General features: G+C 40.3%; 1 annotated feature.

Moving 5' to 3' along the window:
• Nucleotides 16,053–16,122: an enhancer, noted in NCBI's record as "active region_5504". NCBI's record gives its function as "activates an Ori minimal core promoter by ATAC-STARR-seq in GM12878 lymphoblastoid cells {active_cell/tissue: GM12878}" and the evidence as "EXISTENCE:reporter gene assay evidence [ECO:0000049][PMID:35858748]".

Below are 16,338 nucleotides of genomic sequence, written 5' to 3' on the forward strand. Positions count from 1 at the left end.
AAAAAACACAAATCCAGAACAGATACAATGGCTCTTCACTGCTCAGAACACTAGGACGGCTGCAGTGACTGGGTTACCTTGTCCGAGGTTGCCTGTTTTCCAACTTCAGGAGCTCTGCAATTCTTTGACTCAGTTTCCATGTCTACTTGATTCTCTGCTACTCTCTCTATTTCACTGCCCTCTGTGGGTTTATGTGTCATGTTAAAACTCCCCAAAAGAAGATCACAATTGACATTCAAGGAGCCTGGCCACCTCACAGTTCATGTAACTCTTTTTTATTTAGTGCATGTATGATTGTCCTTGTTAGGTTAATGCAACCAATTTCCTGTTCAATCTGTTGTGGCCAGGGAATCGGGGTCCATGATGGAAAGCAAAGCACCCTATGTGGCAGGAAGTGTCTTTGACTTTCCTTTAGAAGAGGACTGGAGCTGAGAGGATTTCTTAAACCCATTTCCTCCTCACCGTTACAAGTTAGGAGGCCACATCTTTCTATTCACATGTGCCTCCAGGAGCTCAGGCAACTCTTCCCTCATCTAGCAGTTTGCTGAAATGGGCTTGGCAACTACTTCCAGTCCTCCTCCAAGACAGGAATTTCCAAGACAGTGAGCATTTTAGCTCCTGCTGCTGGACAAGAATAGCAGACAAAGACTGACACATTGCTGAGTTATCTCCAAAGCACAAATGGCTCTCAGGCACAGTACATTACATAAGCAGAAAGTGTTACTGTATTCTCCCTGTGGCCAACTCCTGGATTGCAGAAAAGGTTAAGCATATAATACATCTGCATATCTTACATCTTACATAAATGTGTTACAACAAAAGGGAAGGGGAATCATTATATGAAAAACTAGAGTATGCTCTACCATCCCCAAAGATTGCAGACCATAGAAAGGTCATACACAGAAAGAAGAGAGCAGGCAGAGGCTCTCCTGGTAAAACATGGACTTGACTTGAAATTCTCCACCTCAGCTACTTTCTCCAAAGTCAAGGAACCACAAAACCCTGGTGTGTGAGTTTATTTTGGTTCACTGGGCTACTGTTTCTGCCAAGAAACACCTTGCTGCCACTTTGTCCTGCTTATTGTCATGCTGGTCACTTCCACGTACAGAATTAAGAGGCCATCACTGAGCAGAGGGAGGAGTGGAAGCTCAAATGTTTGTTATTGTTAAATTCACTCGTGCCCTTCTGAAACGTGTGCACGTGTGTAAAAGGACAGAGACAGAAGATTGATGTTTTTGCCTAAGAAATTTCTCCAAAACAAAGGCAATGGACCTAGAGCTTTTCAGTAAAGCTTATCTTTTCTCTTTTATCATCCCCCTTTCTCATTTCAAAGAGTTTCTTTTTTTCAGTGATTATTCCATAACGAGTAATGTGACAAACAACCATCATTACAAAGTCAGAAGCAAAAGATGGAGCTGTAAAATGTGAACGAATGTAAATCAAATATTCATGTGTGCTGGCAACAAAGAGTTGAGTGTTTTGCACTGTGGTTAAGTATCAATTACTGAAAACTAAGATACGTCACTATCTACATACACACACACACACCTACACACACACACACACACACACACACACACACACACGGGACAGCAATCTAAGTGGCACAAAGCACAGAACTTAGAGTCACCTGACTGGGCCCATGTCTCTGCCTTGCCACTTAACAGCTATGAGCAAATGTTTTCAAACTCTGAGTTTCAGTTTCTAATCAACTTACATAGATAAGAATTAACACCTGATCTACCCATTTCCCAAGACTATTGTGAGAATGAGATTATATAGAAAAAATGGTTACTGTATGCCATCATGTTTTTAACTAATATAATTCTCTGTAGAATAGCAAATGGCTTTTAACGATTAATTCACTCAACTTTTATTGAGTGTCTACTCTGTACCAAACATGTCTACTTCTTTGTAACAGTCCTTTTTAAGCTTTCAGATTCCAGGGTGATTTTCTATTTGGAAATAAGGATTTTATTGCTTCCATATCTTCTATGTAACTTCTATATTTAGGCTTCTATATAATAAAGAGGTATATATACATTACACACATACACACACACACACACACACACACAGTGACAGTAAGAGACGATCATGTCAATGTTATCCAGAAAGGTACCAATAAAACCAAGATAAAAATTAAAACTGCTTAAAAATAACAATACTTTACCCAGAAATGTGCTATGCTAAAGTATTTTAAGAAAAGAAATCACAAATAGTTGTTCTTAGCAACTTCATAATCTTGCTCTAAACTGGGAAAATACAGTTTGAAGCCTTCATCATCATCACTTCATTGGAGCTTCCAAGCTGTTGCAATTTATCATCCCATACTTTAAGTTTCTTTCTGATCTTCCACATCCTGAAGTTCTTTCTAGTTTAAGGATCTTGGTCCTACGTTTCCTTGTGCTGTGTATGTCGATTTTCTCCGTCACTGCCTGTCTGTTGTACTAAGTCAGTGTCTAAGCTCAAAAAGACAAAAGCAAAAGGGCAGGATTTGTGCTCGGTGTTTCTAGTCTGCTCGATCTTGAGATTTAGTTTATTTCAATAATTTAGAAGACTTCGGGTGACTTACTGAAAGTGCGTCATGAATAAACTGTAACAAATCAACTCCAAAATTGGAAGATGACTTAGGTTCCATGTTTTTCTTTCTGCATAGAGTTTGAATAAATAGACAAATTAATTTAAATTCAAAAGAAAATAATCACTGCTTTCCCTTGACATATTCATTAGAGGAGTTCAAGTAAAAATTTGGAATAAGGTATATACTATAAAAATTTTGTTGCTCTTTCATGTTCTTCATCAAAGTATCTGGGGAATGATGTTTTTCCTTTTAAAGTGCTTTATAGCACCTATTGTTTGTACAGGATTTCATTTTTTTTTACTGTATCTTTTTCTTTGAAAATGCAAATTACAAAAATAAATAGTAAAGGGATAAAATAACTTCAGTGTAATTTGCCACAACAGATCCAAAAAGCATGTAGAGTCTAATTTTTCATACCTGCAAGGGATGGAGTCAGTTGTCATACCCTACCTCAAACTGACACAGGGTTGGAGCTGTGTCTTCTACCCTATCCTCTTCTTCTTGGCCAAGAGCACAGCACTACATTGATTCACCTGCCACCCTGTATATACTCATGGCCACACCGCCTGTAGGACCCAACCCTTTTTCCTTGCTACCAGCCCATTCCCCAAACCACACAGAGGAAGGAGCAGCTTCACAGACAGCCCATAAGTCTAACAGCTTGAATAAGAGAGTAGTTCTTCATTTCAGCTGATATTTGGCTGGATCTGAATGGAAAATTCACCAATGGTGCTGAAAGAATATTTCATTTCTCCAGTATGCAGGATGTTCATTGAATACTTCCAAGAGAAGCAGGAAAGACTGGGATAATTAAACATTTGCTTGAGTGGAGCAAGAGAAAGAGCTCTTATTGACAATGTGACAATGCTGCAGTGTGATTATTATGGAAAGACCACCACTCACTGCTGTACCCAACCTCCTCCATGCTAACTCAACTCCAGGCACACTGTGGTTCAACCAGCAGTAACCCATTCCATAAACACCAGTCTGTTTGGAAATTTATGTCCTCTCACAGTATAAAGCCGCTGAGTGTAAATAAGATTCAACTTCTTTAAAATGGGCACAAAGGCATGCCCCCCTGACCAATATTATCCTTACTCCGTTTTGGTAAAAGCTAGTGTTCTTCTCAGTTATTTATAAAGCAATTATCAAATGAGTCCTCCTTTTGTACAGCGGCAAACCTTAAAGGGATGGAAAGGGTGGTTATGGAAATGTCACACAGGCTGAGCAGAACCAGTTGTTACAAAGACGAACTGTGTGGGAAGGAGGAGAGAAGGCAAGAACTGTACAGTATTTTGCTAAGTCTGAATTCTTTATTATTAGTTCAAATAAATAACAAAAATGGGTAATTACATAGCAGAAGTTCAAAAGAATCACTGACTTAAAATCCAATGAGTGCATCCTCATTAAGTCACTGGAGATAATATTCATTGCATATTACAGTCTGCTCATGGTTTTGAGCTTTGAACCTGTCACTTTAAAACTGGCACAAAAAAAAGCTTGTGCCAACATAGCTTATCCAAGACAGCATAAGCATAATTTTCCTGTTTCTTCTCTGTATTGTCTGTCTTTTGGGTGAGCAGATTCTCCTCTGAATTAGATCACCCTAATCCAATATCCCATTGTCTTCCAAGAAATAAAAATAAGTAACAAAACTGTTTTCTGTGATAGGGACTATGATTTGGCCTTTTATAATGAGCCCAGAGAAGTTGACTTTGTTTTATGCTCAATGTAAATCTTTTTTAAAATTTCAAAATCTCTTGAAATGTGAATCTTGTCCTCAAGAATTAATTGCAATGGAACATTATTAAAATGCTTCATTTTGGCATGCTTTGTACATTATGCATTCTTTTAAAAGCCTATCAGAAAAGCAATACACTAAAAGCGTGGCTTGAATCCTAGAGGACAACATTGCTCACAGTGTGTAAACACAGATAATTGGTACCCACCTTCTGGCCCATGAGACCAAACTACTTCATGGAAAATGTTCCAAATACAAAGAATTTAGCCATGAGCGTCTCTATGAAAGATATGTTTTATGAGAAATCTTCACAACTACACTAATTGGATATATAGAGCCAATAGCATCTGCTGCCCAACAACAGATTTTAAAAGGAAATCTCCAAAGCAGAGACTGTTAGTTGTTTTCCCACTATTCACTTCCTCCTTCTTCCTTTGCAAGAGAACAGACCCCTGAATCAATGGGTGTGGCAATTTGCCCAACTATGAAACTACGTTGTGTCTCTTATAGATAGGGATGATCAAAGAGATATGAGTAAAAGTCATTGAGTGTGGTTTCTTGGAAAGGGAATTGACTCAGATGGGAGGCAGGATGGAAAAGCTGTAGCTATGCCAGTATCTTGTAAGAATGAGGTTATCCTATGGCTGGAAGCCATCTACTAAGGAGAGTAGAGCAGAAGAATGTAAAAAGACTGGGTCCTCAAGGACATAGAGTCAACATATCAGTCCTCATTAGCCTACTTCTAAAGTTCTCTTTCATGAGAATAAAATGCACTTGTGCCTTATTTAAGCTGCTACGGCGTTGGGTCTTTCTTACTAGCAACCAAACCCAATCTTGTCTCCCTATTACCTTCCCAGTTGCATTTGACAAATATAATGCTTGGGGTATTAAATTATTAAAATTTAATTTAGATAATTGCAACTATTGGAAAATAGAATTCTGCAGTTATTTAGCATAATCATTTAAATGCAAAAGAATTTCTGGAGTGCAAGAGAGGCATAATAAAAAGTAATTTAGTAGGGATTAGGAATCTTTCGATCCAGCTCAGTTGTCAAAACACAAAAACAAAAGAAATAGAGCCATTATAAAAAGCAAATCATAGACATTGGCCCTTAGAAGGGGAATGTCATACACATAGCAGGATCAAAACCCAGAAAACCAGTCAGAAGACAGAGGCAAAGGAGGAGTATGTGTGTATAATGAATTAATGGGATTGAATAAAATAGGGAAATGGTATAAGCAACTACAAAGTAGGGAAATCCTTAGCAATAAGGAAAGCAGTCTTCTAAAATAGGAACTTGAGACTGTGGAATTATAGGATGATGCCTCTATGGTAGAAGAGGGTATAGCTATGGTAGAAGATGACAACTTTAGCCGGGACATTTAGACATATGGAATTAATTAGGTTCTAGGCCTGCAACCAGGCTCTCGGCTAGGTTTCCAGGAACAAGGCTCAAATCACCCTACAGAACTGGCCTGATAAGGCAATTGTTGACATGCCATTGCCAGCCTTGACCAATCCACACCACTTGACTTGAAGGCCCCACCACTGCTGTCATTTCTGTATTAGGAGCTGACCTCACCTGGACCACTCACTCAGCAACAAACCCTATTTCCTCACAATGCTCTTTTCTTATGTTTGTCATGCATATTTCTACAAAACACCTGGAAATTTGAGTTGAGAGGCAAGTCAGTACATTGGGAGGCAATACTAATAACAAAGGCCTTCCCCCAAATACATAAAGAGACTTGTCAAAACATGATGGGAAGCCATGAATAGGATAAGTGTGCACCACACAACTTCTGAAGATGAAAAATTCAAGAGGTTCTAGTTATTAAGCAAGAGAGAATAAGTAACTGGTTAAAGAATTAATCGGCTGGGCGTGGTGGCTCATGCCTGTAATCCCAGCACTTTGGGAGGCAGAGGTGGGCGAATCACCTGAGGTCAGGAGTTCACGACCAGCCTGCCCAACATGGAGAAGCCCCATCTCTACTAAAAATACAAAATTAGCCAGATGTGGTGGCTCATGCTTATAATCCCAGCTACTCGGGAGGCTGAGGCAGGAGAATCGCTCGAACCTGGGAGACGTAGGTTGCCGTGAGCCGAGACTGCACCGTTGCACTCCAGCCTGGGCAACAAGAGCAAAACTCCATCTCAAAAAAAAAAAAAAGCAATCAACTGGTAGAAGTCCAGCTTCAATTTGAAACTAGGGCCACCTCTGAGACTCAGCTAAGAAAGTCATGATGTCCGTGATCCAAAGATGCATGCATTCTCCTATTCAGCGACTATCTATTAATCACCAAACACATGTCAGGCCCTGTTATAGCACTGGAGATTCAGCAGTGAAAAAAATTGATAAAAGTTCTTGTTGCTGTGGAACTTGCATTTCGCTGATAAAACAAACAGGACCTAGAGGCCAGATTTAAGAGTAAGTCATTGCATACGTGTGGCTCATTCAGATATGTTGAGCTGTGTTTCCCTAATTCCTTTCCCAGTATCTCCCCAAGCATGTTTTGCTAAATGAAAAATGTGCTACAAGAATAAAGGGGCTAATAAATGTAACGTGATGAAATACGTTTGGGATATGGCAACAGAGACCACAGTCAACAACAAGTTTGCTGAAGGCAGGATTTCTCAGAGGCATTAATGAATTATTGTGCGTCAGAAACCTTCAAGAAGGGGTTAGAGTATGTTTGGCATGTGTGTGAAACTTACATGATCACAAAACCTTTTTCATGAACCATATTGCAGAACTAGAATTCTCAGGAAAACTTTAGAAAATGCTGTTTTACTGTGTAACGAAGTTGATTTTGATCTCTGAAAGTAACTGCTAGAAGAAGTGGAGGACATGGCCCATAATATTATAATAGCAGCTGTGAAGCTTGGATTCTGTTTCAATATAGCAGACTAAAGAGAATACTCCTTGCTCTTTGAGTGAAAACAGCAGGAGAATGCAGCAGTACAGATGAGAAACTATGTTTTAGGAGGTCCTGGGCAGTTTTCACGTAAGAGAATTTTCTTAAGAAAAAAAAAGTTAAAAAGATCATCATGGTTGACTTGAGAAGGAGATGTGACAAGAGAGAAATATATAAAACATGGGTAATAAACCATCTTATATTCTATTAAGGAGCCCTATTCACAGAAAAAAATAAGGATCATATACAAAAGAAACTTTTTCTTACTGAGAGAAATATAAAATGTGCAATTCATATGCTTTTCAAATTACCAACAGGGAACACAGCATTGAAAGTAATTTTAATCCCTTTCTTCACAAAACCTTTCATTAGAACCATGAAAAAAATAGCAAATAGCTCTCATTTTCATCTGACCTGTCCATACCCTTACAGGGTATTGATGAATAGGTGAAAAGCCAGAGCACAACACACACGCGCGCATGCACACACACACACACACACGCACACTGACACGTGGGAAATGAATAATCTCTATGGGGTGGAATAAAAAGCCTTTATATTTAGGTAATTGACAATTCACAGAAACCCTTAAAGGGAGTAATGAGAAGCCTTGAGCACAGAAGGCACCAAATGTAGGGAAATATTTTTGAAGGATTATGTGAATCCTACTCCTTTCCCTAGAGGCCAAAGTCAGATGAAACAAACCAGCATTTTGAACTCTGAGCCCTCCTCCATCTTTCAAGAGTCCTGATTTAGAAGTATCAAAGGTTGGGAAATTTCTCATTCCATTTCTTCTGTATCAGTGGACAATAAAACACCACATTGTTTTCGAAGTTCTGCTCAGAATGAACACCGGGGTAAATTGCTGGGGATCTGCAATTAAATTGTTTATTTTGTAAAACTCAAGTAGCATTTTTACAAGTTCAGATGAAAAATTATCAGCCTTGAAATACGTATACAAAACAATTTCTGATTGAAAAAGCTTCCTAGATCACCCCTCTCTGCATTATTGGCTTTTATTGGATTTAGTATGTCTAATTGGGCATGTGGATATCAGGGCCATATTGACAAAAATAAATATCAAAAAGTATTATGTAGAAACTGCAATAGCCTCAAAACGACACTGGTTATTATGAGAAGTCTATTAAGGAAGAAAATAGCATAGTTTTACCCCTGAGGAGTTGATCGTCTTCTTGAGGAGATGAGATTATACCTGGGAAACAAGTAGATTTGTAACAAAGGAGGCCTCAAGCAGGAGCAGCCCCCGATTTCAACATAGAGCAATGAAAGAAGGGGCCAGCATCACAGAAGCCAGTGGCCAGGTCTCTGTCAACTTAGGAGCTGCAGTGCAACAGCAGAGCAGAGTGGCACAATTGATGGTCTTCGCACTGACCACAGGGCCTGGGACAGCTGTAGAGGGGCTGTCTAGCAGCCTGGAGACAAGAAGGAGAATGAGAGTCATGGAAGAGAAGAGTCTGACAGGGTCTAGAAATAAGGTTAGCAATCTGGGTTGGTGAATCTAAACTTCATGGGAGAGATGGCTGAGAAGGAAAATCCTAAAGACTAATCCAGCCTCCATTTTACTTTTATTTCCCCTTCTTCTCTAAAATTGATGTTTCTGTCCCGTTTTCTCTTTTAAAAGATAAAAGAAATGTCTCAAAAATGTAGCCTTCATTGAACATCAGCCAGCATTCTCATAGCAAATATATTAATGTCTTTGTCCAAACAGACGAGCAGAAGTGTTTGAAATCGCTGAATATATCACTAATTATTTTCAATTATTGCCAAAACAGGAAAGGGAAAGAAAATGTCTCATTTGTGGCCATCCCATACTCATTTGTGACCTAATCATAAAGTCTCTACCCAAAGCACAGTGATTAGTTAGGGTTAGTACGGTAAAGCCAGGGTCTGCTGGAATGAGAAGCCCTGGAGCTGCTTGCGCAGTCTTGCTGGTGCCTTCCTTGCCTTGTACGGTCAGCACCGGCATGTGCACTCAGCATCCAAGGTTTGCCATGAAAGACGCACGGACAGCCAGTTCTATTGCAGCATAGCCACGGACATACCTGCTGTGCCAGGCTCAGCGCTGCCTTCTCATCTCACGTGCTGGCAACTTCACAGGGCAGAGCTTCTGTCTGATGCTCTTCTTACCAGAACTACTAAGAGTTATGTTCCTGTTGAAGTTTATCAATTCATGTTAATGGCAGTAAATATGTAAACCAACTGTTCCATATTTACCAAAACCACACATTAATCATTATGGGTCTTCAGAAAAATAAACTGATAGAAAGATTTAAATATAGATATAGAAAAAGGGTGACTTAGCGGCAAAAACGATCAGATCATGATGAAGCATTCAGAAGATATTTCAATGGCAGATCCATCCATTCAATGTGTAGGCTATAAATTATGTTTAATCCATTGAAGAATCACATCTAATCTCCTGTGCCTCTCTGAATCATTGTGACAACTTTCTGTTACTTTTTGTCTCCTCCCACGGGGCAAAAAGCTACCCAAAGGCAGGGACTTGGTCTCATTCACCTTCATGTCTTCTGCCTCTGGTAGAGAGGTAGTCTCATAAGGAACACTCAAAAACTGTTGCTGAATGAATGAGTACAGAATCTTCCCCAGAAAGAGATTATAAATTAGTACTATTGTAAGGGAGGTGACACATATTATAATATCTATAATACAAGGTAGAAAATAATAAATTTTATAAAGGAGGTTTAAAACAAAGTACAGTCGATTCTCATTGTTAGCAACAAGAGTTATGGCCCATAAAATTGCTCTGAACACTGAATTAGCAAGCACTAAATAGTTGCTCCTAGGAGAAATACAAGATTAGGTTCCTGGGAGCCTCTGCCAGTTGCGTTATATAGGTTTGTTTGAGAACTTCCTTGTAAAACAAGCCAGTCTCATCAGCATTGAAAACCTGCTCTTCCACATAACTCTTTCCCTGAATGATATTTAGCAACTATTTTTTAATTTTTTTTTTCTGAGACAGAATCTCGCTCTGTCACCCAGGCTGGAGTGCGGTGGCACAATCTTGGCTCACTGCAACCTCCGCCTCCCAGATTCAAGCAATTCTCCGGCTTCAGCCTCCCGAGTAGCTGGGATTACAGGCGTGTGCCACAACACCTGCTAATTTTTGTATTTTTAGTAGAGATAGGGTTTCAATTCTTCTGTAGCCTTCTGATCTGTAGAATCTGCCTCATCTGCAAGTTTAATAACTTTCACACCATATCACCTTTTGGAATGTGTGAACCAGCCAAGCCAATGCTAGCCAAAAATAGTGTCACATTCTCCTGATCCAGGGAAATGTGACCATAAATTTCTTTGGCTTCCAGTCTCACAACTCTGCTGTCTGCTATGTGTTTTTTAATCAGTTATCATGTCTAACTGCTTTTCTGCTTTTTCCATAGACTCATCACACACTACAGATGTTACTTTAGCAACCTCCACAGTGGCCCAGATTAGCGAATATCTCCTTTCTTTTTCTGGATGTACTGTATTGTTGATTCATCAACATTGAATTCATGGCCAACATCATATAACTCATGCCTGAAGGAAGCCTATTTAACATATGCATTTTCTCACGAGGCACATCACAGCCTTCTTGTACTTAGGAACACTAGACAGCACGGGGGACCATTTTAAGTAGCAAAATTACTAACAAAAAGCATCAAAATGCAAAAAACATGGCACTGAATAGACTTCCAAAAGGTCTTTTATTTAACATGAGAGCAGAAACAAAAAGGCAGAGTGTGGCCCTGTTTGACCTCAGCTGGGAACATGAGCATTTAGGCAACTCAGATTTTTCACCACTCTATGCGTGTCCACATATGACCTCAAACGTGCCACAAATATTGATCTGGAGTTTATAACCAAATTTAGCGAGTAGGTGAATTCGCAAATATAGAATCTAAGAAGAAGGAGAAGTACAGTGGGGATGAGTTCCGGAGGAAAGAAAGTCCTCTCAAAGGATTATTCTGAGATTCAAATGAGATCATCCATATAAAGGATTCAGCATCATGCCTGACAAACAGGCATCAATAGATTCTTATTCTCTGACTGGTCAAATGAGGTCACACCTCAGAGAGGAGGGAACTTTGAACTGGCCCCTGAAAGACAGATTCGAGACACGGATATGGATGGATGAGAAGAAAACTATTCAAGGCAGAAAGAAAAGTATAAGCCAAGGCAAAGAGGCAGGATATTAAAGAATGTATACAGGGGGAATCAAATGGCCACAACCTGGCTGAATCCAACACTGTATAAAGGAACTTGGTAAGAAAGAATTTGAAAAGGCAGGTTGGGCCAATTTACAGAGGGCCTTAAATTCCAGGCTGATGAATCTGGACACAATATAACAGGCCACAGAGCAGTCTTGGTGTTTGTTAAAGAGGAAAGTAGTGCTCAGAGCTGAGTTTCCAGAAGAATAAGCTGAGGATGGCATGTAAAAGTAATGGTGGTGTGGGGGCAGGAACTCAGGAAACCACTCGGAAAGTAAGAGTATCACTGATTGTAATATTCTTGTGGTCATTTTGTGATTTTGGAAGAATTGGATGGGGGTTAAAAAGGAAGAAAGAGGAAGGGTTTCAATGAAATACCTTCCCAAACCTCTTGACGAAAATAATTACTTGAGTCCTCATCAGTAATACAAATCCGCAGGCCTCAACCCATACCCTTGGGATGTGAATCTCCAGCACAGTGGTCTGGGGAACTGTCTGTCTGCCAGCCCCTCAGGTTGTTCTTTCCATCAGGGAAGTCTGGGAAACACTGTTTCTGAGCTACAGAAACTGAGAACAGCTACTCTACATAACCAAGCTGAGGACAAGAGAAATACCTAGACCCCATGTTTCCAAGCTCCAGTCTTCACCACTGCTGACTTGTTTTCTCAAGCAATTCTGTGCTTCCCTAAAGAAGCAAGTATGCTCACTCACGTGGAGCCCACCACCCCCAGCCTGGTAGTGAGGGAGTGCAATCGGTTTCATTAATAAAGCAGCCTCAGAGAGGAATTTCATTTAAAAACAGAGACAACTAACTATATTAGTTTGAAATAAGTTCTGTACTTTCTAAACTCTAAATACAAATTCATTAGTTTTTAATTCTTTTTTAAAAATCCAGATTCCACAACTCTATGAACTGTTTAATATGAATTCCCACTACAAATTCTAGAGCAGGAATACAAGGTATTTTCTATATTTACATTTAAGCAAACAGGTGTGAAGCAAGTAAAATGTGTTCAGAATTGCTTTAGACTCTACTAATGAACTGTGAAGATTTATTTTATGATCCGTGTCATAACGAATTCTATGGAGCACTAACAGAACCAAAAGGAAGACTTACAATTTTCAACAGTAGATATTAGATGGTTAAGACATCCCAGGAATCCAGTGTGTTTTTAGTAGATGTTATTAACACATTGTTGAGTAGGTTACACTGTATTGAAGAGGGCTCTAGAAAACAGACAGTGGGCACAAAGCTACACTGAGGACTGCATTAGAATGTATGCTTATTATTTAAATTTCCCTGAGATAATTTATACACTATTCATTTCCAACAAAAGATCAAGCGAGGCGTGGTGGCTTACGCCCTGTAATCCCAGTACTTTGGGGGGTCAAGGTGGGTGATCACCTAATGTCAGGAGTTTGAGACCAGCCTGGCCAACATGGTGAAATCCCGTCTCTACTAAAAAGACAAAAATTAGCTGGGCATGGTGGCACATGCCTGTAACCCCAGCTACTCGGGAGGCTGAAACATGAGAATTGCTTGAACCTGGGAGACGGAGGTTGCAGTGAGTCGAAATCACATCACTGCACTCCAGACTACATGACAGAGCAAGATTCGGTTTGAAGAAAATTTTAAAAAGATCGGAAGTCATATAATATTGGTATCTTAAAAAATTTAAAGTAATTACACAACTAAACTGGAGCTTAACCCACAAGGGCTCTTGGCTTTGCCCAGGAAAGAATTCAGGGGCGAGCAAGAGATGGAAGAAAGCAGCTCTATTGAAGTGGCAGTGTTACAGCTCCGGTGGTGTTACAGCTCCATGACTGCTCCTGCAGAGCAGGGATACACCTCAGGCCGTGTGCTCAGGGTAGCAGCTCAGGGCAGTTTTGCAGTCATATTTATACCGACTTTTAATTACATGTAGATTAAGGGGTGGTTTATGCAGAAATTTCTAGGGAAATTTCTTTTGGGTTGTTGGGTCATTGCCTTGGAAAGAGGTGGTAATTCCTGAGTGTTGCCATGGCAATGGTAAACTGACATGGCACACTGGTGGGCATGTATTATGGAAAGCTGCTTCCTCCCAGTCCATTTTAACTAGTCCTCAATTTGGTCTGGTGTCTGAGCCCCGTCTCTGGAATCGAGTCCTGTCTCCGCCTCCTACCCCAACAGAGTAAGACTTTCTCAGCCTCCTGCACCACCCCACCTATTAGCCAAAGAGAGGAAATCCCTGATAACCATTACACTGCCCTATTTATGTCTTTAAGATAGAGTAAGGAGTTACAGGTACATAGTGTCTTGTATTTATTAATAACAACCATATCATTATGACAGAAAGCATGATGAGCAATAGCGAAAGTGTGTTTTTAAAAAAGCAACACCATGGATATCTGATCAAAACTTTGTTTTGTGAGCAATATAATTTAATACATGCTATTAGTATATAGTATGGGCTGTAGAAAAAATAGAATGCAGTATTTACCAATGTGCTTATGAAATCTATGGAAATTGGTATTTCTTGTTTTTCTCGGGGGTCAGCATGATGTCACAGAAAGTGCACAGTTATTTAGAGGCCAAAAGCCTAGATGTGTAAATCATGTTTGCCTGACTTAGCAGCTGTGTGGCCTTGTGGACCTTCCTTCAACCCCTCTCAGCTTCCATTTCTCCTCTGGAATATGGGAGTCATAACTGCTACACGGAACAGTTTTGAAAATGAAATGAGAAAACACATAAAGAACCCAGGTCAGGACATTGGCTCATAGCAGCCATTCAGTGCGTGTTGGTTTCCTTATTCCCTTCACCTTTCTGGATTAGGTCACATCCAGTGCTTCCCACATGCCAAGGCCAGTCTGAATGTCTGGCTCTCAAACTTTTGGGGATCCAGATGCTTTGTGCCTCTAATTAAGGTTATAGATCATCTCCCCTAACAAGTTCATGTGCATATAACATTTTGCAGGCAATTTCTCACAGACTCCCTAGTATTCACTTATGGACCCACTTGGGGTCCACAAATCCAGGTTAAGAATGCTGGACCTAAAGAATCTTGGGACAGTAAAGGACTGTGGTGTGTATGAAAGATTTGCTCACCAACTATAAAGAAACTAGAGGTCCTAATCATCTCCAAGACACTATCTGGCAAGTTATATATTTCTGAAGCCTGAATTGACATGTACAGGTCCATCTTGTGGCACTAGTAATAGCATTCTCACACACACACACATATGCATACACACACATGCACACACACATGCTGGCACACACACACATCAAGTATCAATTTGCGATCACTAGTTTACATGGAAACTAGGAGCTTCATTGGAATAAAAGCTTGAACAATAGCCAGTACTATGGTTCGGACATCTCAGATATTCATGATCGAGTAGGAGTCAAAGATGCAATGGAAACCACAGTGAAGAAAGGAACCGAAAAGAAAATTCACCAAGCAGAGGAAATCAGCAACAAGTCCTGGCAGGTCACAAAGAGAGAGTTTCAGGTGGTGACCTATGCTTAAAGCCTTTGTTAAATCTAGCTGTCTGGGCGGCATGTGTGATCCTGGAGAGAAAGGAGCCTATGTAACAATGGAAAGAGCTGTTCCACCAAACCCTGCAATGCCTTATGACCATGTGATCCACTGCAGTTCATCCTGCCCCAATTAAGTGCAACACAGAAGAAAAAGCATTTTCCTTCCCCATTCCATGGAGGGGCTGATGGCAGTGGTGGCCTGGATGAATCAGGAGGGATCTGGGCATAACTGGGGACAGAGGCCCATGCAGAAAGCTGGAACCAGAGAAGGGGCACTAATTGGCATGACAGAGGACAAAATAAGAGTAACCTGGACCCACAGGCACAAGTAAGAACCCTTAAGGGATGCCCAGAATACTTGAGAGAAGGTGTTTAATATCATTAAAAGCTCAGATTGTGTCTGTGGGTGTATGTGTGTGCATGCACACACAAGGGCATGTACATATGTATGTATATATGAAAGTTATAAGTGAGAGGTGGTGTCTTAGTCCATTGTGTGCTGCTGTAACAAAATATTACATATGTGGTAATTTATAAAGAAAAGAAATTTATTTCTGACAGGTCTGTAGGCTAGGAAGTGCAAGGTTGAGTGAGTGGCCTGAATCTGGTGAGGGCCTTCCTGCTGCATCATCCTGTGGTGGAAAGCAAAAGGGGAAGAGAGTGCAAAAAAACAAGAGACAGCAAGAGAAGGCTGAATTCCCCTTTATAACAAATCTACTCTTGCAATAACAAGCCCACTTCCTCAATAATAACATTAATCCATCCATAAGGGCTAATTAGGGCTAATGACTTAATCAGTTCTTAAAGCTCCCATCTCTCAACATTGTTGTGTTGGGGATTAAGTTTCCAACACATGAAATCTGGGGGGTATATTCAAACCACAGCAGGTCACAAGTCCTCCCTGCTTCATAGGCTCCTTCTCTGGACCAAACCCTTCTTCCTGTTTTTATTCTTGCCTGCACACCTGGTCCAAGATGCTTAAGATAACAGGCTCTGGGGCCAGAGTGCTAGGCTTTAATCCTGACTCTACTACATAACACGGTCACTTTAGACTATTGTTTTAACCTTTCTGTGCCTCAGTGTTTGAGTATTAATGTTAGTATAACCCTATTCACACAAACCTGCTCCTGCTCTTTTTTTTTTTTTTTTTTTTTTTTTGAGATGGAGTCTCACTCTGTCACCCAGGCTAGGGTGCAGTGGTAAGATCTCAGCTCACTGCAACGTCCGCCTCCTGGGTTCAAGCAATTTTCCTGCCTCAGCCTCCTGAGTAGCTGGGACTACAGGCACGCACCACTACACCCAGCTAATTTTTGTATTTTTAGTAGAGATAGGGTTTCACCATGTTGGC

This window comes from Homo sapiens, chromosome 11, assembly GCF_000001405.40.
Source record: "Homo sapiens chromosome 11, GRCh38.p14 Primary Assembly".
In the NCBI taxonomy this organism is placed as follows: Eukaryota; Metazoa; Chordata; class Mammalia; order Primates; family Hominidae; genus Homo; species Homo sapiens.